At 32.4% G+C, this 25,630-nt stretch overlaps 2 long non-coding RNA genes across 2 annotated transcripts in view; both read right to left on the bottom strand.

Annotated features, from left to right (window-relative positions):
- Positions 1-25,630, bottom strand: part of LOC124904475 (uncharacterized) — a 765,263-nt gene that overhangs the window by 63,047 nt on the left and 676,586 nt on the right. Inside the window, exon 7 of the long non-coding RNA XR_007066777.1 lies at positions 6,645-6,798. This is a non-coding gene — a long non-coding RNA (uncharacterized LOC124904475). The remainder of the gene's footprint in view (positions 1-6,644; positions 6,799-25,630) is intronic.
- On the bottom strand, positions 12,178-23,720 carry LOC124904476 (uncharacterized). Its single transcript, XR_007066778.1, has 3 exons — positions 23,149-23,720; positions 18,279-18,418; positions 12,178-12,518 (listed from the first exon to the last, which is right to left on the bottom strand). It is a non-coding gene; the product is annotated as an uncharacterized LOC124904476 (long non-coding RNA).

The following is a 25,630-nucleotide window of genomic DNA, read 5'->3' as shown; positions in this document are numbered from 1 at the left end:
GTAAAATTGTGCAGCAACTATGGAAAACAGTGTGAAGGCTCCTCAAAGAATTAAAAACGTAACTTCTATATGATTCAGCAATCCCATTTTTAAGTATATATCCAAAATAATTGGAATCAATATCTTGAAGCCATATTTACACTATCATGTTTATTGAAGCATTATTCACAATAGCCAAGATATGAAATCAACCTAAATGCCCATCAACAGATGAATGGATAAAGAAACGATGGTATACATATACAATGGACTATTTTTCAGCCTTAAAAATGATAACCTGCCAAATGTGACAACGTGAATGACTTGAGGGACATTATACTAAGTGAAATACACCAGTCACAGAAGGACAAATACTGCAATCCAGGTAGGTAAGTCTTATATAATAGTCAAACTCACAGAAGCTTGAATACAGAAGCAGAGAATACAATAGTGGCTGACAGGTGCTGTGCAGTGGGGGAAGTGGGAAGTTGTTCAATGATTATACATTGACAGTTATACGTGAAGAAAAAGCTCTAGAGATCTACTCTAAACATAGTGCCTATAGTTAGAAATGTGGTGTTTTGCACTTTGAAATTTGTCAAGAGAGTAGATCTCATGGTAAGTTTTCTTACTACAAAAGAAAAAACAACAACAGAGGACACAAAGAAACTTTGTGAGGTGTTGATAGGTCTATTATCTTTACTGTGATGATGGTATCATGGATGTTTACATATGTCCAAATGCATCAATTGTATATATTAAATGTGTGCTGTTCTTTGTATATCAGTTATATCCAAATAAAATTGTTAAAAAATAATGTCACTCTAAGTGGAAAAGCAGCTAGTTTTGTATGTATCTAATTTCACACAAGTGTAAATTTTATATTAGTTTTAGTATATAAGTACATAGAATATAATACTACTTTGAAATAAAGTCAATCAGAACATACCCACTTCTTTTAACAAAAATCCTACTTTTCTAATGAATAAGATTTCTAAGCAATCTAATGGCATAAAATATTTGGGAAATTTCAAATTTATCTTTTTATGGTTGATTTAACTGATTTTTTTCTATATGTATTTGTTTTCCAGTTTAATTTTCTTTCCATTAACACAAATATGTAACATAATACCACCAGAGTCATCCTCTTTTGTTAGTATTTTTCTAATGGCATTTTCTGTTTAAACTAAGGGTAATGTTTATAACGCTGCTGAGCGAAGTTCACAGGATAACATGAATCCATTTAAGAAACAGCTTCTCAAAGGGAAGATAAGTGGGTTCACAGTAGGTTTTCTGAACTGAATGGAAGTTACTGATAGTCAAATTTAAACATTTTTAATTCACATAAATATTTATTTCATAGCTATCATTTTCATTAAAACATTCCTAGAAAGGGTTTCCAAATAACAAATACAACTAACCTTGAATTCTTAGAAAATAAGATTATATATCTACAACCTGTGACCTTTAATTTTTTTCCAGACAATTTGAAGATGTTTTGGTCCCTAATTAATATTCTTTAGTAAAATAGGAGCGAAGTAGAGGGAATATTGTTCTAGAAACTATAAATTTCAGGTCATAGATAACATCAGTAACAATGAATATGCTTTATTTTCTAAGTATATAGCATCACAAGGTTCTACCTTTGCACTACCATGACTTGCTTTCCCTTGAGTGATGTATTTGCATCAATACATTGCTATACATACTGTCAACAGTTCATTTTCTGATTAAAAACACTTAGTTTGGAAGACAATTGAAGGGAGACATTGTAAGTCTAGACTACATACTAGAGAAATATAATTCATCCCTAAGGATCAACATGTTATCCTGTGTATATTAACTCAATAGTAACTGAGTAAATTACCTATAACTATACTAAAATTGTTTTTTGAAATTAGCCTATTTTCAGGAGAAAAAGGTGTGTTTATTTGAATAAAATACAAATGATCTGAACTATAATCATGTTTCAGTTCTTATCTTTGCCTGAATCAGAGAAGCAAAAATATTTTTGCTGAATGAATCTGTCTAATGCCCGTATTCCCTCAGCCCAAAATGACCTTGAATATTGAGACAGAATTTGCTCACTCTGATGCTGACATCACTCCTATCATTTATAAAGATAGAGTTATTGTGTCAGTGTTTTGTTTTTTTGGAATATACATAATATTCTGGAAACAAAATGTTGCTGTTGTAAAATGATGACTTTTTTGAGTGACAAAGGAGGGTCCATTTTAGGGAATTCTTTTTCTTTTTCTTTTTCTTTTTTTTTAAATGGAGCCTCAGTGTCACCCAGGCTGGAGTGCAGTGGCATGATCTCGGTTCACTGCAACCTCCGCCTCCTGGGATCAAGCGATTCTTGTGTCTCAGCCTCCCAAGTAGGGGATTATAGGTGCGGGCCACCATGCCTGGCTAAGTTTTGTATGTTTAGTAGAGACAGGGTTTCACCATGTTGGCCAGGCTGGTTTCCAACTCCTGACCTCAGGTGATCTGCCGGCCTCGGCCTCCCAAGGTGTTGGGATTACAGGCGTGAGCCACTGCGCCTGGCCAAAAATCATTTTTATACCCTATATTATCAAATGAGTCTACACTGCAAACTTACAATAATAAGATTTATTAATGTTTATATATATATATGTAAATCTCCATCATATAGCCAAAAAGCTGAAAACACAACAAACAATAACCCTCCCATCTGGTCTCATAGACCAACAATAAAATAATAAAGGAAAACCACTTTCAATGTTATTACTCAATTTAAGGTGTTTAACAAAAACACATCAATTTACATTTAAAATAATGCTAAAATACCACGGTTTTTCTTTTGTATTTTTAAATAAAATATACCCTATATATGTATTATTGTGTTCTGAGCTACAATACAAGTATTTTTAAAATTATATGTTAAATGAGAATTATTTGCTATAAAATTAGAAGTAGCTCTTTACTGCATCTCAGAAAGAATTTTAGTATTAATGTTTTAGGAAATAAAATTTCACTGAATAATTCCTGGAAAAAATGTGTTTTAGATATATGAATATTTATGAACATATAAATTCTACATGCTAGATTTATTAGCAAAAGATGATTCTTGGCATGGTTTGGTCTGTCAGAAATCTCAAAGTATATCAACTCAAATTTCTGCAAAAAGAATATATTGCGAATGCCTATAGTTATAAAATTATAACATCATACAGAATTTTCCCTTTCATCTCCTCAATATTGTTGTTGTCAACAAACTCTTTTAAAAAATGTTTCTAAACAATCTTGTTCAAATAAGAGGATCCTATTAGATATATGATTTAATTGTTGATTGTCAATAAAGTTTTGAGAGTTTATTTTAGAATACTAAGGGTTTGTTGTAAGAATGCACATTTTTGTTTTTACTTTCAAAACTTGTTTGAGAAAACACCACTGTTATAGAGAGCTATCGATCACATATTTGGGTCTACAAAAATTGAGTAAACATTATTTTCTATTGGATAATGTAAATATTCAAAACATTCTATGTATTTTGCTAAATTATTTAAAAAAATGAAATTCTTGCCTTTCTTCCCAGTATGTATTGTACACCAAATTTAATTAGTAATGCAAAATGTCTATAACTGGAAATAAACTAAGGGAAAATACTGAAAAATAAGTAAGTAAATGCTAAATCAAGATGCACTCTAAGCTGCAAATAAACTTTGGTAATAGTAATCAACCATTATTAACTCCAGGATTTCTAATTCAGTGGGTTTCCATTCATTTTAAATTTATTCCAGCTATCTCAAGACTCTGAAATGTATAGAAAGAGTAGAGATTTCAAATAAGCAACTACGATATTTTATCATTCTATCACAAATGCTTGGCATAACCTACCACTTAGGTAAATATCAAAAAGTAACCTTATGGACTTTCATTTAACCCATGGTTAAAGATACCTCATAAGCATAAAAGCATAAAATAAGTGCATATGTAGGTATACATGAGAGTGAGAGAGAGACAGCATGTGTAAACTAGACCAGTTTTGCTCTGATGACAGACTAAGCAATTAAAATCATAATCTTTTATATAACCAGAAAATCTGTAAAAATCTGCAAAAATATATCTCTTATGATCCAATATAGAAGTATGAGGAATGTCAGTGATGTTATATAAGATTTGTAATGCATTTCTCATAGGGTTCTCTGTCAATTCAAAAAGAGACAGCTGAAAGAGGAAGACTCAGAGAAAAGTTTCAAGAGATGAATAGCCTTGTCTGAGTAGGGAGATCCAAATTGGGGCTCATAGCCTGCCAAAATGTATGTTGATGGATTGGTAACCTTTCTACGCAGGCTTTTAGTTTGGATAGCTACAGGGGATACTACAGCTTCAGGATTAACCAAAATCAGACATGTCAATATAGAAAGTAAACCCAGCTTTGATTTATTTTAATCTCTACAGTTGGATTATGGTGATCCAGTTTATGAGAATGAAAATTTTCTCTTGATGTCTTGATGGAGATAACACAATTTGATGCCTCTATTTATTCATAAAAGTTGACAATTAGTTAAAAAAAAAGGCACATACCTATGAAAACCAGATAAGATTATGCAAACGTAAGATAAATAATGGAGAATAGAAATAGACCCATAGATAATCCAAATAATGAAGCCATTAAATATCAATTTTAAAATGTTATGTTTAATCAGGTCTGCTGCAGTGGCTCACCCCTGTAATCCCAGCACATTGGGAGGCCCAGGTGGGCAGATCACTTGAGGCCAGGAGTTCTAGAGCAGCCTGGCCAACATGGTGAAACCCTGTCTCTGCTAAAAATACAAAAATTAGCTGGTCATGGTGGATGCACACCTGTAGTCCCAGCTACTCGGGAGGCTGAGGCACAAAATTGCTTGAACCCAGGAAGTGGAGGTTGCAGTGGGCCAAGATTGTACCACTGCCTCCAGCCTGGGGGACAGAGAGAGACTCTGTCTCAAAAAAAAAAAAAAAAAAAAAAAAAAGGTTACATTTAATCAATTCAGAAATATGAAAAACAGAATTATAATATTGGCCACAGAATGGAAACTAAATCAATTGGAAAGTGGAACTAAAAAATACAATAACTGAAATTAAGGGCTTACTGTATGGATTTACAGCTGAATAAAAGTATTAGGTGGTAAATAAATGGAAGGACATAAAGAGAATGAAATACAAAGAGACAAACAAAAATGTGGTTAAAAAAAGTATGAAAACAACAGAAAGTCATTGAGGAGATGCACTGCAATCTTCTCAGAAACAATTGTAGTACCAGACGGAGAGGAAAGAAAGTGAAACAAAGACTATTTGAAAAGATATCTTACACTTTTCCAAAACTGATATAAGAAATCAAGCAACATAAAATCTTATGACTATTTTGAAGCTAAAAACTACTATCCTGAAATTTACAATCAATATCTGCCTTCTAGATACTTCAATTAGATCTTTTCATAATACAAATATAAAGGGAAGACCCAACCATTGTTTTCGAGGTGATATGTGTAGCTTTGGAATTGGACCACAAAGCAGGCAATGTTTGCCATAGTCCTCCTGTATATATCTGTTTGACATGTGAATTAATTTGTTCAATATTCTTCTTTGACAAAAGAATTTGTGGTCCTTTCTCTTAATTTTGACTTTCAAAATTATTAAAATCAGTCTTATAAATTAAGTAACTGATTACAGCTATACAACTGTCAAGCATAGTGAGAAGTCTAATCAAATCCATAATATAAGGAATAGAGGAAATAGTTGGTTCCCTCATTAGGTTTTTTTTTTAATTGCTAGAATAAACTTAGCAGCTTACAACAATACAAATTTATCATTTCAGGTTTCTGGGTCCCCAATCTGCCACAGATTAACTGGGTCCTCTGTTCATGGTCTCATTAGAATTAAATCAAACTATCAACTGCTATATTCTCATCTGAGATTAGAGAAAAATCCACTTCCAAGCTGACTCATGTTATTGATAGAATTTTTCATAAAACCCAAGACTCTCCAGATTTGGTTGTCATTTTTCTGCAGCATGGTATGTGAGCTAAGCTTTCATCTGAGTTATTACACATCAGATCCAATAGACAATATACTGATATCATTTGTCTTATTCTATCAAAGTAAACATTGCATTTGCACAGAATCTGAACATAAGAATATTTTATTACAGTGACTAACAGAAATCTCTGTTTTAATAGAATCAGAAGTGACACTTGGTATGTGTTGGTGGCAATCAATTACAGTACTTTTCAGAAATGTGTTTTTGTAGTTTGCAGAAAAAAAATTTTAATGATATGCAAGAAAAATATTCCACCAATTTTCTAATTACTTAAATTGCAATCTTTGAAGCTAGATTTCAAACAGCGTAATCATCAGATGTTTTATGCATGGCTATTGAATGTTATGAGATACACTGCTGTAGCTAATGATAAAAGTTAAATATATTTTATAGCAAAGTCAGTGCACATTAAGACAAATAAAACCACACAGTATTTTATGTATGTGTGTTGTAAAACACCTCCATAAATTATCACAATAGATTTTGAGAAACCGAAAGACTCCTGCAGAGTCTATTGCTGAAAGTAGAAATATCTGAATTTTGTAAAACAAATCACCAAAAAGAAAAAAGAAGTAAAATAATGAAAAAAAAATAAGGTACAAAAAAGGTCAGAACTTACCTGCTTGCTAATGCTTTTGTCACCAGTAGCCTTGACAAAGCCAAGAATTATCTCAAGATTAAAAAAAAAAAAAAAAGTCTCAGGTCAAGGATGAAACAGAAATGTTAAGAGATACGATAATATACTCAAAAGGATACATTGATGTCAGGAAAATCTGAAAGATAAATGTGAAATATTCAGAAATTAATTATGTCAAAACTTCTAACTACCCAAAAATTTCCTCAAGAGAATAAGATAGAATCCAATTTTTAAATAATGTCAAACCATTTGAGTAAACATAGTTTTGTGACTTTTGAAAATTAAGAGCCTTGGGGTGTTACACATTCCTAAATCTTAATTGTGTGTTGAATTTATATTAGGTTGATTACAAACAGAAATTTTATTAGTCATAATTACAAAAAAAAGACTGTTCTTTTAGCTCTATTTCCATTAAGGCCTTTAAAAATTGCCAGTACTTTTGAAATGGCAGTTACTAAATGGTCCTGTAATCTAATCAAAGTCAATATAAATTATTGTTTTAAATTGTCTAACGTTAGAGAATCTTTTCTACTTCATACATAGATTAGCATAGGGATAATATTAACTTATTAATTGCCTCATTTATCTGAGGAAGAGAGACTAACCAATGCCAGAATGCTAAGTTTTAGAATAATAAGGTATTTATAAACACATGAAAGAGGTTGAAATTTTCTTGGTAAGTTTCAAAGAACATTCTGGCATGTACAATGTCCTAGCTAGAAGAACATAAATATTTTTTAGAGTCTCCACAGCATCCTGATTTTTGAGTGTGTATTTGAAATGACAGCAGCCTAAAAATACACTTCGGTAAAGGACCATAGATTTTTAAATGTCTCTACTGATGATTCATGGTTAATTTAGACTGTACGAAGATTTAAAGTTGTTCACAAAACGGTATGAAATATCAAGTCAACAACCTACATTGTATCCTTGATTATACACTTCTTGACTTTCTTGTTCATCTTTTTTTTTTTTTTTTTTTTTTTTTTTTCTGAGATGCAGTCTTGCTCGGTGGCCCAGGCTGGAGTGCAGTGGTGCTATCTTGGCCCACTGCAACCTCTGCCTCCTGGATTCAAGCCATTCTTCTGCCTCAACCTCCCAAGTAGCTGGGATTACAGGTGTGCACCACCATGCCCAACTAATTTTTGTATTTTTAGTAGAGACAGGGTTTCACCATGTTGGCCAGGCTGGTCTTGAACTCCTGACCTCAGGTGATCTGCACGCCTCGGCCTCCCAAAGTGCTGGGATTACAGGCATAAGCCACCATGCCTGGCCGTTCATCTTTCTTCATAAAATAAAAATTTTACTTACAATGCACTTCTACCTCAATTTGGATGAAGAGAAAAATTATCATCTTAAAATTACACTTACAGTAATGAGGTCTCAAAGGGTCTGGCAAATATTACATCACCATACTCACATCTTTGAACCACTCTTCAAAATTAGGGTCCTATAATGAAATATTTGCTCATATTTTCTTGAATTATCTTACAATGGAAATATGGAATTACCTATCATTCCTGTATTATAGTTTATGTAAAATTTTGATAAATTAGAATTTAGAGTGACTACCTCCAAATGATCATTGACAAAAAAATCATAAAAAGAAGTCCGCTTTAAAAAACAGCAATATGAATAATATATGAATGACTCTCACTTTACAGGTTTAAAGAGTCAAACATTGTGGCATAAAACCAGATTCCATTTTACCTCTAGAATCAAGTGGTTTTATAATGTAATAATATTTCACTCTAGACTTTCTTTTTTTAAAAAGGGTGGTTACTGAAAGAATGAATTATGTCCTACATCAGCAGTAACAGTGGATATGATAACAGTTAGGTCCCCATTGCAAACACAGTGTGGCAATATTTAAGCATCTAATTGCATTTAAGGATCTCATTCATGAAACACAGGCTCTTCAGGCAGGAATGTTCAGACCATTTTTTATTAAGTATTTGCTGTATGTTGGGAATGTGTCAGGCACTTTTTCTAAGCATTTGGAGTAAACAATACAAGATTTCTATCCTGTTGGAACTTACAGGACAGGGTGGGAGGCAAAAATAAATACTAGAAAAAAATATGTATCTAATATCATATGGCAGTAAATGCTATGGAAGAAAATACCAAGAACAAATACAAACAAACAGGAAATTCTGTTTTCAGCACATACTTCACATTACTGATTTTTCTTAAAGAAGATGATGATTAGAAGTAATGTGAACTAAGAGGAATGTACTGTATGTTAAAATGCTTTCATATCCAATCTTAGTATTATGATTATCATTATTGAAAAGTAAGTGTTCAGTGACAGTTGGAAAAGTATGTGAGATTTTATTTGAAAGATAAATAGAAATTTTTAGGCAGAATGAGAAGAAAGGAGGACATTTTTGTTGAGCTAAAGCAAAAACTAACAGTGTAAAGTATATTCAAGGAATTATGAGTAGACATTCTATATATATACAAAATGGGAGCTAAGACTGGAATGGTATGATAGATTAATAGATTACTTAAGTGAATTTGGGAACAAAAGGACAAATACGTAGAACAACTAAAATTCATAGGTATAAATATAAAATTATTTACTGAAAACTTACAAATATAACCCATTTATTTTTCACTGAACAAATATTCATTGAATGCCTAACATATGTCAGAATCTGGGTATATAATATGGGCTAGGTATATATCCTCTCAGATTCATGGTACACACATAACTTAGACATATGTGACCCTATTTTACAAAGAAAAAGTGTCTTATATATACACTGGACTTACTAGAAAAAAATCTCAGGACTGTAAGTGGATAAGCATGGATTTGGATGTTGGCAGGTGAATGCCAGTCTCCACCTGCAACCAAAATTGTTACATATTGTCTCCAAGTGTGGCCTCTTTATCAAAAATTGATAACGTCCCTGTGTAAAAATGAATATTTCCTCATCTTTATTTTTCTCCCCTGAGATATGTTTTGTCATTTAGTGAACCCATCTAACTTGCATGCATCATTTTCATATTTTTCTAATTGTGGAAGCCTTTTGCTGGCTGCAGTGGATCACAGATTGTTTTCTCTGCTTTGCTTAGTGATAATTTATTTTGATAAAAAACAAATTTATCTTACCTCAATAATAAGGAGGAGGTCCTCCTTGCTGATGCCTCTCACTCTTGAATTCTTTAATATCCAACTATTTTCATTACACATTTCAGTCTGGACTGCATATTAAGTATTTTGTTGTTTATGTTCTGTTGGAAATGTATCATTCCACTTTAAACATTCCTTCCTCAGTGGTATCTTCTGGTCTAACACTTTCAGGTGCCCCTCTGTTTGCTGAAGTCAGAATTAAAAATATTTTTCTTGTGGGTTCCTGCAGCTGATATCTTTATTTATGTGTTGGTCACATACGTCTAAATATGGTAAGCAGAATGATACTTTCATTCTGATCAATTTTCTTGAATGATGTTTCCATATATTTACTCATGATTTGTAGCTAACTCAGACAAAACTAATATAAAACATCGGCACTGATTTTGGCATAATAAGTAATTATTTGCCATTGAGTAATAAAAACAAATGGTTTATAAACAGCAGAAGGACTTTATACATAACCTTTCTTTAAATGGTAAAATAGCATCAGCTGTCAAATTCAAGCAATGCATACTGAAAATAGAAGTAACCAAAGGAATCATAATTGTGTTTCAAGCCTGTTATAATTTACTGGTTTAAATTGAATAGCAGATATTTAAAATTTAAGAAAATGTATTTTATTTATTTCCCCCAAAGTTAAACTTATTTCATAGGCCTGGAACAAAATATCTTACCATTCAATAAGTTAGAATAGTATTTGATAATTTCAAAGTGTTGTTAAATTGAGGAGGTAGTATTATTCATTTTGAACATGAAGACTCTCTTCATTTAATATTAGCTTTACTTTAACTCCATTCTGGTACATGATAAGATAAAAATACATTTATAACTTGAAATCTCACATAATGAAAATATTACTTTCAGAAACAAGCGCTGTTTGGATGTAAAACATGTTTAGTAGGGAGGAAAGGCCTCTTTGAAAGCTACTCTTAGTTTATGTTATTGAACTGAAGAATTTCCAGATGAAGGGCAAGAGCACAGCCTTAAAACTCCAGAAATGTCAATTTCCATAACAGCAAATAATTTGCCTTTTCAAGTCACAAGACTGCAATTAATCATGTGAGACATCAAAAAAGAAAATTGAGGCTGTTTTTAATGATGCATCCTTGTGTGAAAAAAAGGTAATAGTTCTGCATTACCCCAGTGATTAATTGAGGTACTAATTTAGATTGCATGTCATATGAGTATACAGTTTCTTTGGGGGATGGTGGCATTCAAATAGGGGCACTTATTTATAAGAATGCTGTAATTGTTCAAAAATCAGTGTTAGGACTGACACAAATATGCTATAAATTATGTTAAAACTGTAAAGTAAGTAAATCTGTTTCATAAAATTTATATTATATCAGTTTATATTGCTTTACCATGGTCTGTTACAAAGGTACACTGGTCTATCGAGTTGAAAAATCCATTAAATTCAGTCCAGGTGCTTGAGCCAAGGGCTTAATATTTTTTGTTGTTAGGTATTAATATACCATAAAGATAATACTAGACCCCTAAAGTTTAAGGACCTTGAGATTTCCTAAATAAAGAGGAAATAAATCAGCATAGTAAAAATGTAAGAGAAGAGTAAAATTTCAACCGTCAGAAATTATCTTTAAAATGTTTGAAATCCTTTTAAGAATAGTTGTGGTATCATTTCCCCAATGAGACTTCTTATCAAATTAAGTTATGTGCTCCTTCTATGTGTTTGCATAATACATGGATTCCTACTATCCTAACATTTAATCATACCGTATTGTAACTATGTGTTTAGTATTTGCCTTTTCCATTATACTATAAAAATCTTGCATGCTGTGCCATATTTTTTTAAGTTGAGATCACACTTAAGACCTCAACTTAAACTGTCCTTCTTCAGGGTCACGTGCCCTGACCTCCTTAATTAGGATACATTAACCTGTTACAATCACTCTAAGAACAGTCTATATGTTTTTGTTTGTTTGAGCACATATGCTAATTTCAATTAAGTATTAAATTTTTTGTTTGTTTTTTTACTGTCTGTTATCTCATGTTCCCTGAGATCAAAGATTATACAGGGCTTATGTTCTTCACTGCTGTATTCTCAGTATCTAGCCCAGTGCCTGGCAGCCAGTGCTCAACAAATGTTTAGGTCATCAGTCGTTATACACTCAATACATGCTTAGTAAATGTATCAAGGGCTTTCTAAAGTTTTTTGCATGAAAGCCTTTATTGCAATAACATCATTTGTAGCACTATAAATTATATATAACATAGTTTTATATATAATTTATAAGCAATATAAATTTATAAACTGTATAATTCATATATTCATAAATTATATATATAAATATATATATTCAACAAATCACAAGTCAGTAAGAAAAAGGCAAAGAACCCAATTAAAAATGGGCAAAATATCTAAAGAGACATTTCATCAGAAAGATACTCAAAAGTGGCCAATAAGTATATAAAAACTTGCTCTCAAGAAAAGGTCAACTAACATCTGTAAGGAGAGAACAACTGGCTAAAACAAAATAGAACTGTTAAAGATAAAATTATTTCCTATACTAAATATTTATGTAAGTGTAAGGAAATTGGAATGTTCATACATTACTACTACGAGCGTAAAATTATGCTACAATTTTGAACAACTGTTTAGAAGTTTCTAATTAAACATATACCTATTTTATGATCCAGTGATTCCTCATTTTCTGTATATATTCAAAGTAAATGAGTGCATAAACCAATATAAATATCTGTAAGAGAGTGTTCACGGAGGCATTATTTAGATAGTAAAAAACTGGAAACCAAATACTTATTACCAGGAAAACTGATTAACAAACTGTAGTATAGTCACACAATGAACTATCACATAACAACTTGAAATAATTCCTGCTACACGCAGAAATTAATAGATTTCAAAAATATTGTATCAAGTAAAATACTACAAACATGCAAATAAACCTATATATATATATATATAATCCTATTTATACAAAGTTTAGAAACAAGCAAAAAAAATTCATGCTTTAGAAATTTAAATAATGGCTACCTCTGTGATGGGAAGGGGTTTTACTAACTTGGAATGTGCATAAGGAACATAAGTATCAAAACTATTCTATCTCTTGGTCTAGATGATGGTTACCCTGATGTATATACATGTAAAACATATTTTATTCATACAGTTACATTAGCTTAACTAACACAAGTTAATACATGTATCTAGTTCTTCCAAAAGAAAAATTAAAAGGGAGAAAATTTGATGAAGGATGAGACGTTAATATTTTTCCTTTCAGATAATAAAACTTGTGTTAATAGCTGAGTTATTGCTATAAGAAATAAGAAATAAATCAATGGAACACAAGACAGAGTAGAGAAACAGCCCTCATACATAAATACTTTACATGTGAAAGAGATGGTATTTTAGGTCAATGAATAAAAAATGGAATTTACATCCAATAGAACCTGCACCTGCACTATAGCTTCTCCATTTCAGAAAGGAAGGAAAGAAGAATGGAAGGAAGGAAGGAAGGAAGGAAGGAAGGAAGGAAAGAAGGAAGGAAGGTCTCCACCTCAGATACTATGCAGAAATTATTATCAATTGGATTATAAACTTAACGTAAAAAAACTTTAAAGCTTTAGAATAAAACATGGAGGATTATCTTCTTCATAATAAAATATATTATTTATATAGTGTTTACTCAATCAAGCATTGTACACTACTTGGCACTTCCAAAGTTTATATTGATTTACTTATTCGATCTTCTCAATAATCTACTTTATGAGGAAGATACTAATATTATCCTCATTTTACAAGTGAAGAAGTAAGTCACAGAGGAGGTGTTTACTTTCCATTGCCGAATAACCACCAATTTATCAGCTTAAAACAACACCAGTTTATTATCTGTTTCTGTGGGTCGGGAAGGCAGAACACTTTAGATGAGTTTTCTGCGCAGGGACTCACAAGGCTGAAATCAATGTGTTGGCTGGCTGTGTCTTCATCTGGAATATCAAATAGGAAAGAACTACCCCAGGACTCTTCAAGTTGTTGGAAGAATCAATTTCCTCACGTGTGTAGAACTGAAATCCCCATTGTGTTGCTAGCAATTGAACCGCTTTCAGGGGTTACCTCCCTGATCCCCTTCATAGGCCGTCTCATACTTTAAATCATCTAACTTAAGGACCCCCTCCATAGGCCTAAGCGTCCCCACACTTCCATTCTCTATAATTTCAGGAAGGATTCAATCTATTTTAAGGACTCACCTGTTTAGGTCAGCCCTATTCAAGTAATCTTTCTTTTGATGAACAGGATGAGTGAGGACTTAAGCCAATTTGACTGGCTTAGAATTCCCAGTCACTGCATCATTATGTGCATAATGAATTATTATTTATGTAAAACACAAAACATGCAAACTAAAATGGAAAATAGTGATAAATTCCACTATTTTAAAATTTTATAAGACTGTTTCTCAAAAGATGTATTAGTATCAAAAGTATAATTACACTTATTAGTGTCAAAAGTATAATTACAATATGGAAATTACATCTGCAACAAATTGGAAAGAGATTGGATTGATCAGAGAGAGAGAGAAAGTGGGGAGAAAATAAAAATATATTTATGTACATATATGTATGTATAACCATACAAGTATATAATAAACTCATAAGAAAAAAACAGAAAAATGACAAAAATTGTGAACCAGTATTTCACAAAAGATAAATCAAAATGGCAAATAAACTTATGAAAAGATTCCTAATATAATGTACATACAGAAAATGCAAAATAAAATTCTAAGAGAGAGAATTCTACATTTATCAGATTGAAAAAAAAGGCAAGTTCACTACTACTGCTAAAAAATATTTATCCGATTTCTGGAACAATGGGAACATTCATTCACTGATGGTGAGTATATAATGGGAATGATTCTAAAGATTCGCCAGCAAGTATGGTGCCTGATTGAGGTGGATACTAGACTTTTTCAGGGTTAGGGGATTCCTTTCAATGACTTTTTTTTAATTTTAAATTAATGTTGTTGAATTTTACTGATGAATTTTTCAGATCTATTAATATGTGTATATATTTCCTATGTGGCATAAATTCTATGAATTTGATCCATTAATTTAGGGGATTCATATATAGTCTAATGTTTTATTCCATCCTGGTATCTATTTAGTCCTAAAGAGATTTTCCTACACTGTTTTTTTAATTATTATTCTGCTGTAATACCTTTAAGGTTTTTGCATGTTTGTTGACAGATGAGATTGACCTATAGTTATCTCATTTTTCTAGTATGACTTGTGCGTAACAAAATTATCTTATCTTTTAAAATAAATTAGAGTGTTCCCATTTTGAATACAGTTGGAAGTAAACTATGTTTTAAAATTTATGTTTTATTTTAACTAGGCCTGTGAAGAGTTTTGGACTAATCCTTTGCTAGGAGTCAATGGACAAATATGGGGATATTTATCATATAATTTGAATTGTTTATAACCATTGGTTTATCCACACATTCTGCTTCTTGCTATATGTTGATCAATGTTTGATTATTGTCACAGAATATCTCCCTGATAGTGTACAAGTGTTCCCTTTACTCTATATCCTAATATGTGTTATCTTTAATTTTTTTGATAATAGCTAATCTAACACATACGAGATGACACCTCATTGTGATTTTAATCTGCATTTCTATGATTAGAGATGTTAAAAATAATATATACCAAAATTACTTTTGCACCAACCTAATATCTGCTGGCCTTTGTATGTCTTCTTATAAGAAATGTCCACTCAGGGACTTTGCCCATTTTTTAAGAGGGTTGTTTCCTTATTATTGAGTAGACTGAGTTCCCAGTGTATTTTGAATGTTACCCTCTTATTTGATTTGTGATTTGCAATTTTTTTCCAATCTGTGTGTTATATTTTACTTTGTTAATTGTTTCCTTTGCTGTAGAGCAACCGTTTTGTTTGATTCAATCCCATTTGTCTATTTTTGTTCTTGTTGCCTGTGCTTTTGGGGTCATACCCAAGAAATCACTGCCCAGACATGTGTCAGGAGTTTTCTCTCATGTTTCTTCTAGTAGTTTTACATTATTAAGTTTTAAATCTAAGTTTTTAATCCATTTTGATTTGAATTTTAAGGGGTTCTCAGCACCATTTACTGAAAAGAAATGTCTTTTCCCCATTGTGTGTTCTTGGCACCTTTGTCAGACGTCAGTTGACTGTAGGTGTGCAGATTTATTTTGCAGCTCTCTATTCTAATCCATTGGTTGATGTGCCTTTTTTTTTAATGACAGTACCACACTGTTTGGGTTACTATAGCTTTGTAATGTATTTTAAAATCTGTGTAATGTATAATGCCTAGAACTTTGTTCTTTTTGGTTAAGGTAACTTTAGCTACTTGGGATTTTATAGTTCCATATACATTTTGAGGTTTTTTTTCTATTGCTGTTAACAAAGACTTGGGAATTTTGATAAAGACTACATTGAATCTACAAATCACTTTGTATAGTATGGAAATTTTAACAATAGTAATTCTTTCAATCCATGACTATACGATGTCTTTCCATTTATTTCTGTCTTCTTCAATTTCCTTCTCAATATTTTGTAGTTTTAAGTATACAGATCTGTCACGTCCTTGGTTAAATTTATTCCTAAGTAATTTTTTGATACTAACGTAAATGGGATTATTTTCTTAATTTCTTTTTCAGATAGTTCACTGTTAATGTATAGAAACACTACTAATTTTTGTCAGCTTATTTTGTCTCCTGAAACTTTACTGAAATTCTTTATCAATTTTAACAGTTTTTTGTGGAATCTTTTAAGATTTTGTATACAATATGTCATCAGCAAACAGAGACAGGTTCATTTTTTCTTTACTATTGGATGCTTTTATTTATTTTTTTGCTTGACTATTTACTCTTGCTAGGAATTCCAGTACTATGTCAATAGAAGTGGTGAGAGTGGGCACCCTTGTCTTGCTCCTGATTTTAGAAAAAATAAAAAAAGACTTTCATTTTGTCACTGATGAGTATCATGTTAGCTATGGGCTTGTAATATCTGGCCTTGATTGTGTTGAGAAACATTCCTTCTGTACCTAATTTGCTGAGAGTGTTTATAATGGAAAGATATTGAATTTTGTTGGATGCTTTTTATTCCATCTATTGAGGGGATCATACGGTTTTATCCTTATTCTGTTAATATGATGAATCACATTTATTAATTTGCATATGCTTATCCATCCTTGTATCCCAGGGATAAATCTCAATCAAGGTGAATAATCCTCTTAATCCCAAAATTAAGTTTAAAATTTACAACTTCACCTTTTATCGTGAAAGAAACATCTATTTTAAAATTATATTAAGGAACAAGTTATTTTAACTGATCAATTAATAATATAGCCAAAGGAAGGTAAGCCATATTCTGATTGAGAACATATTTTTTCATTTAAAAAATGTGTACCAAAGCCTGGTGTTACAACCAGGAATGGCAATGCATGATAATTATATGGTTCCTGAAATAATAGCTAAAACTTCACTTACCATGACCACAGTTACCACAGAACATAAATTCTTAAGTAATTGGGAATAAAATAATGCATATATCAATTTTAGATGCCTAATTTTTAAATAAATAAATATTTACATATAAAGCAAAACTTGGTCCATAATCATTATTCTTCTTAATGGAGTTACTCTCTTATAAAGAAAATACAAGTTTGCTCACCACTAAGTTAAGATGATCTTGAGTATTTTCTTTAACTTAGAAATGTAATTCAAAACTCCCTTTTTATGAATGGCTATCTGTGATGCATCATATGTCTCTGGTGAAGAGTCTATCTTTTCTTTCTCAGCTCTAATATCTAGGAGTTTCTCATATTAAAAAAATCACTTACCATTAAGTATGTATAAATTAGCTCAGTGCAATTTCTAACACTTCGGTGATCCCAATCTCCAAACAATATTCTACACACGGATTGAATATATATTGAATATATATATTCTACACACAGATTGAATTACATATATATATAATTGTTTCAGTAATGACATTTGTGACATTTTCAATAAAAAATTAGTTTTGTAATGACTCAAACATAGGTATTAAAATTGTCATAAATTATAATTTTGTTGACTTTGAAAATAAAAATATTTTCCAATTTATGTATGAGACCATATAAGCAAAGAGAATAATAAATAAACCAATGTTGCTAGTAGAGGTTACATTTTTAGGTAATGAAGCAACAATGAAAACCTCTCAAAAAATGTTTAGCATGTACAATGAACTAACAAAAGCCAGTCAATTGTTTAATATTTATTCAAGTTGTATGAAGATTATTCAATCTAACATATGAAAAAGGAACTTATGTTAAACGAATCCCTTCGAATTTTTCATTACTCCACTATATATTTCACTATAGTAAGTAAAATAAGAAATATGAGTGTAAGAAGTTTAAAAAACTTCAAAATACTAAATTCCTTTTTATCTTAAAAATATAAAATAGTGTTCTCAACTTACTTACTCTGTGTTTGATGATGAGGATGAGTTCTATTGCAAAGCCTAAGAGAATAAAATGTCATAGCAGAGTGAGATGTAGGACACAAATAAATGTAAAGTTGTGTCACAGAACTCACAGGTGATATCCATTCAGAAGAAATAAAGCTAAATAGAAAGAAGAAAGAGGTAACAATAAAGTGAAATAAACAAAAGTTGTATTCTTGAATATCAGAGGCAATAAATGGAAACACATTCTCCTAGTAGCTATAAATGTAAACAGTAAAAAAAAAGAGTGAATTTAAAAAAAAATAGCATAAACTTGTGACAGAAATCTCAACCACCTTTTTAGAGCACATGGAAGAGAGAATTTGAAAAATAAATTGCATAATAGAACAGAGGGAGAATATAACATATAGAACATACAAAACAGATAAAAAAAACTTTAGTGACAATTTTTGTTTAATAAATATATGAGCAATATTTTTAAAAATAGGGTATTATTAAGGGTAAAAAATAATACCTGAGTAAAAAAATATATACTTCCTTTGTGCCCAGCACAGTGGTCCACACCTATAATCCCAGCACTTTGGGAGGCCAAGGGGGGCAGATCATGAGGTCAGGAGATTGAGACCATCCTGGCTAACACAGTGAAACCCTGTGTCTACTAAAAATACAAAAACATTAGCCGGGCGTGGTGGTGGGCACCTGTAGTCCCAGCTACTCAGGAGGCTGAGGCAGGAGAATGGCGTGAACCCGGGAGGTGGAGCTTGCAGTGAGCCGAGATCGCGCCACTGCACTCCAGCCTGGGCGACAGAGCAAGACTCCATCTCAAAAAAAAAAAAAAGTACTTCATTTGGAAACACTTAAACAATGTTCCTGCATTTCCAAAAGATACACACACCTGTTTCAGTTTAAGATCGTCAACAATTATTTAAATTTATTTAAAATACACATTAAAATATTTATATTCATCTAGTCATAGATACCTTTTAATGCTATACTATGTGTATGTGTGTTTATGTGTATATATACGTGTTGTCTGTGTGTGTGTGTAGCATTCAACTACTGAGTATTAGTTCAACCTCCAGGTAAGAGCAGTAAGAAAATTAATTATGGTTTTGTGTGCATAATCTTCCATTTCATCTGGGGAAAATATTTTGCTATAATTAGTATACTCGTTGTTAACCTAGAACTAGAATCATATTTAAATTTCTCAGAAATATTGTATACGTTCCTGAGCATGGTTTCTGGGGCCAGATTCTCTGAGTGGAAACCTAGCTCTACTCCTTACTGATTGCTTAATTGGTTGCATATGGCTTAAATACCATATGCTCGAATTTCCTCATTATAAAACAAAGATTATGAATAGTACATTTCTTGATTTTCAATAGGAACTTGATGCAAAACTTAATTTTTTGATACTTGTATAATGCAAATAAATGTAACAAAAAGTCAAAAATATAAAAAAGTATATGTTGGGGAATATGTACATTATTCTAGTTACTTTGTGGAACTAGGTGATAGTCAACCTATACACTCTGCAATTTTAATGTGTCACAGTTAAGTGAGGTTAATAAAGCAATCCGAAAGGAGATTTAAAAAAAAGAGAGCTAAGAGTGAATCCAATAAGAAAAAAATGCAATGAAAATACACATACTAAAGGCACAGGGAAGACCCTCATGTGAAAAATATTTATTTATTTTTTGTAATAAAAGATATAGAAACTGAGAAGATAGAGTCATCTTTATAATTTGAGAGGAGCTTGGAAATCAGTCAATTGTAAAAGGAAATAGGATAAGGGATATTTACTGATGTCATCTGCATTTAAGGCAGCAAATGAGAAGAGACACTATGGATTGTGCATACCAGATAGCCTGGGAGAAAATACTCTTTCTCTAAAGAAAACTTGGAAAAATGGCTGAATCAGAAAAATGTACACGGTCAAATATGAGTAACAAAAAATGAAGTGACACAGCATAGTTAGAAGGGTAGTATAAGAAAAATGAAGGAAAAATCAGAAAATTATGCTTATTTAAAGAACACTCACCAAAACATAGCCAAAAAATAAGTGTGGTTGGCTGGGTGCAATGGCTCACTCCTGTAATCCCAGTACTTTCGGAGGACGAAGCGGGCGGATCACAAGGTCAGGAGTTTGCCACCAGCCTGACCAACATGTTGAAACCCCGTCTCTACTAAAAATACAAAATTAGCTGGGCATGGTGGCGCGTGCCTGTAATCCCAGCTACTCAGGAGGCTGAAGCAGGAGAATCACTTCAACCTGGGAAGGGGAGGTTGCAATGAGCCAAGATCACGCCATTGCACTCCAGCCTGGGAAACAAGAACAAAACTCCGTCTCAAAAAAAAGAAAAGAAGAGTGCTTAATAAGAATTGCATGATAAACAAATATAATTTAACAAAGTAGTTGTGTACTTAAACATAACAAAACAAAACTATTGGAACTTGGGCAAGAGAAGGTAAGAAAACAAAAGCCAATAAAATATAATCTGAGAGAACTAAGGTAATAAATACAGTTAAAATAGTCACAGAAACATCAAATTGAAAAAAAAAAAGGAAAGAATAATTACCATTGTGGAAATCAGAGCAAAGGATATAAAAATATAAATAGAAAAGAAGTGAAATAACAAAGAAAGAAGATAGAAACAAAGAGAATCATAGAATCAAAGAAAGAAAAAGAACAAATAGAAATTTAAAATAAAGAGCTAAAAAATATAGTAGGGAAACAATAGACAAAGGAAAAGCTCCATATGCAAAAAACAGAGATCTAAATTAAAAAACTAAAGCTATAATTCAATACATTTCCCTAAAATAAAAGATAATTGAACTCCACATACAGAAAGGGAACACAATAGGGAATTTTGAGCTTTAATAGTTAACAGGAAGATGCTCTATTAAAGGTTTTGTATTTTAAATATAAATTAAGAGTTTTTAGTATCCAAGCAGTAAAACAAAATCAATTCTACAGACAAAAAGCACTCTAGTCGTATATTTCTCCCTTTAACACTAGAACATAGGTGAAAAACACTTGTGTAGCCACAAGCAAAGTAAACTATAATCCAAGAAAACATATTTTAGGAATAAAGTCAAAAGCCAAACAGCATAATATGCACAAATGCAAAAAGATTTGCATAATTCACCAGGAAATTAAGAGTAGAAATTTTAGACAACACAAGATAATGAAGAAACATATTAGGTAAGCGCTAATAATATGCATTAAATATACATATATATTTCCTTTTACTATGCTTTGCTTCATTGCACTTCACAGATACTGTGATTTTTACATATCGAATGTTTGTGACAACCCTGAGACCAGAGAGTCTATTGGCACCAATTTTCCAACAGCATGTGTTCACTTAGTCTCTGGGTCACAATTTTGGAAATTCCTGAAATATTTCAAAGATCTTCAATTTTATTATAACTGTAATGGTGATCTATGGTCAGTGATTTTTGATGTTACAGTAATTGTTTTGGAGTGCTACGAACAGCATCCATATAAGAGAGCAAACAATCAATAAATGTGTGCATTCTGACTTCTTCACAGGCCAGCACCCCCATATCTTGCCCTCTCTTTCAACCTCCCTATTCCCCAAGACATAACAACATTGGAATTAGGCCAGTTAATAATCCTACAATGGCCTCTAAGCCCTCTATGCATTAAAGTGAAAGGAAAAGTGGCAAGTCTCTCAGTTCAAATTAAAAGCTACTCATAATTAAGCTTAGTGAGGAAGGCGAGTTGAAAGCCAAAACAGGTTGAGAGGTAGGCCTCGTGCACCAGTTATTCAAGTTGTCAATGCAAAAGGAAAATTCTTGAAGTAAATTGAAAGTGCTATTTCACTGAAGAAATGAATGATAAGAAAGTGAAACAGCCTTGTTGCTGATATGGAGAAAGTTTTAGTGGTCTGTATAGAAGATCATACAATCCACAACATTCCTGTAAGCCAAAACCACATCCAGAGCAAGCCTCTAACTATCTTTAATTAATGATGGCTGATAGAGGTGAGGAAGCTGCAGAAGAAAAGCCTGAAGCTAACAGAGGTTGGTTAATAAAGTTTAAGAAAATAAGGTGTATTTATAACATAAAAGTGCAATGTAAAGCTACAAGTGCTGATGTAGAAGCTGCAACAAATTAATCATAAGCTCTAGCTAGGATAATTGATAGAGGTGGTTATGCTACACAACAGATTTTCAACGTAGACGTATAGCCTTGTTTTGGAATGAGATGTCATCTAGGATATTCATAGCTAGACAGGAGAGGTCAGTGCCTGATTTCAAAGCTTCCAAGACGGGGTGACTCTCTTATTAGGAGTTAATGCAGCTGGCGATTTTATAATAAATTGAAGCCAATCCTTATTTACTATTCTGAAAATCCTAGAACCCTTAAGAATTAATGCTAAATCTATTCTGCTGTGCTAAATCTATTCTGCCTGTGCTCTATACATAGAACAAGAAAGTCTGGATGACAGCACATCTGTTTAGAGCATGGTTGACTGAACATCGTTAGCCCACTCTTGGGGCCCACGGCTCAGAAAAAAAAAAAAAAAACCCTTTCAAAATATTACTGCTCATTAACAATTTAAACAATTTACCTGGTTACACAAGAGCTCTAACTGAGATGTACCTGGAGATGAATTGTGTTTTTATGCCTGCTAACACAACATCCATTCTGTAGCCCATGGATCAAGAACCTATGGATCATATCGACTTTCAAGTCTTATTAGTTAAAAAATACATTTCATAAAACTATAATTGCCATAGATAGTGATTCTTCTAACGGATCTAGGCAAAGCAAATGGATAACCTTCTGGAAAGCATTCACCATTCTAAATGCCATTAAGAACACTTGTGATTCATTGGCAGGTGGCCAAAATATCTACCTTAATGGAAGTTTGATAGAAGTTGATTCAAACCCTCATGGATGAATTTGAGGGGTTCAGAACTTCAGTGGAGGAAGTCACTGCAGATTTGCTGAAAACAGCAAGAGAATTAAAAGTGAAGCCTGAAGAGGGGACTGAATTGCCACAATCTCATGATAAAACTTGAACAGATGAAGAGTTGCTTCTATAAATAAGCAAAGAAAATAGTTTGTTGACATGCAGTATACTTCTGGTGAAGATGCTGTGAACATTGTTGAAGTGACAACAAAGGATTTGAAATATTACATAAACTTAGCTGATAAAGCAGCAGCAGGTTTTGAGAGGATTTAGGCCAGTTTTCAAAGTTCTACTGTGGGGACAATGTTATCGAACAGCATGAAATACTACAAGGAGATCTTTCATGAAAGGAAGTGTCAACTGATGCAGCAAAATTCATTGTTGTCTTATTTTAAGAAATTCCCACAGACTTCTCAATTTTCAGCCATCACTGCCCTAGTCAGCAGCTATCAATATTGAGACAGGGCCTTCCACCTACAAAAAGATTATGACTTGCTGAAGGCTCAGATGATCATTAGCATTTTTTAGCAATAAAATACTTTTAATAAGGTATGTATATTGATTTTTAGGCATAATTCTTTTTTTTTCTTTTTTTTTTTTGAGATGGAGTCTCGCTCTGTCCCCCAGGCTGGAGTGCAGTGGCCCGATCTTGGCTCACTGCAAACTCAGCCTCCCGGGTTCACGCCATTCTCCTGCCTCCCAAGTAGCTGGGACTACAGGCACCCGCCACCACGCCTGGCTAATTTTTTGTATTTTTAGTAGAGACGGGGTTTCACCATGTTAGCCAAGATGGTCTCGATCTCCTGACCTCATGATCCACCTGCCTCAGCCTCCCAAAGTGCTGGGATTACAGGCGTGAGCCCCCGCACCCAGCCTATTTTTAGGTGTAATTCTATTGCACACTTAATAAACTCCAGCATTGTGTAAACATAAATTTTGTATGCATTGGGAAGCCAAAAAATCATCTGAGTGGCTTTATTACATTATTTGCTTTATTTGGCGGTCTAGAACCAAACCCACAATAGCTCTGAGGTACACCTATATTTAATTCTAGAAACAAGACTAAATCAAGCATGGAAGTTAGGGTTATCAAGAAAAAATATAAACAGTATATGTTTTAACCCTACAGAAATAGTACAACTAATAAAATTTGAGAGAGGAAGATCATAAGATAGTATAATGACTCTTTATCTGCAACAATTTAGACTAGAGAAATGTTATTTAAAGCTAAGAAATCATTCAATGCATTATGAAAATATTCATAGTACAAATTAAAATTTTGGAAAGTAAATTTAAAACTAGAAATAAAATATTATTGAAAACATAACATTAATTTTACAATTGCTCCTGTAGAGAGTAAATAGATAACTAGCTTAAGAGGTAGTGGACTAAATGAATTATTAGGAAAGACTTTTTGCAATGCCTAACAAACCCTTAAAAGATGACAAAACAAGATGACAAATACAGCCATCAATATCTGTCATATGGACAAATGTAAAGGGCTTTATTCTTGTATTTACAAACAAGAGAGAAATATTAATATTTACTTTGAGTCACAAAGTTAAGTCCGCTCCGTATGTAAAAGAAAGTAGTCCCTCCTTAATCACAGTTTCATGTTCCAGTTTCAGTTACCTATGGTCAACTGCAGTCCAAAAACATTAAATTGAAAATACCAGAAATAAACAATTCCTTTGTTAAATTGAGCACTGTTCTGAATATGATGATAAAATTCTGTGCTGTCTTCTCCATTCCTCCCAGGACATGAATTTACCCGTTGTCCAGCAGATCCACACTGTCTACCTGCCCATTAGTCACTTAGTAGCTGTCTCAGTTTACAGAATGACTGTTGTGGCATTGCAGTGCCTTGTGTTCAAGTAACCCTTATTTTACTTAATTGTTCTAATTAATTATTAGTCATTTTTGTTATTCTCTTACTTTGCCTAATTTATAAATTAAATTTAATCACAAATATGTAGACATAGGAAAGAAACATAGTATATATAGGGTTTGATACTATCCACGGTTTTAGACCTTGGCCAAGGATCTTGGAACATATCCCCCTGCAGTAAGGGAAGGACTACTGTGCTCCCCTAAGGAAGAATACTGGAAGTAAGAAAGTTTGAATTAAAAAAACAAAATGAGCAAAGTAGTGGTAGGCCAATGTAAACACAAGGAAAATAGTTGTGGATTGATATAAAATTGGTCGTAACCCTTTTCTAGGGACATGTATTTTGCAATGTGACTTTGAAGTTACTCCCATTAAACAGTGAGTCTATATCCCTTTCCCTTCGTTCTGAAATGGTCTTCAGACATGTTTGGGACAAGACAATGTGCAAAAGTAATGTAATGCTAGCTCCAATCTATTAGAACACTCATTATAAAGATGTATGAGTCTTTGAACACTTCTGCACATTGTCTGATGAAG

This window comes from Homo sapiens, chromosome 1, assembly GCF_000001405.40.
Source record: "Homo sapiens chromosome 1, GRCh38.p14 Primary Assembly".
Taxonomy (NCBI): Eukaryota; Metazoa; Chordata; class Mammalia; order Primates; family Hominidae; genus Homo; species Homo sapiens.
Note: the sequence above shows the minus strand (reverse complement) of the source record. Positions and strands in the feature narration are given on the sequence as shown.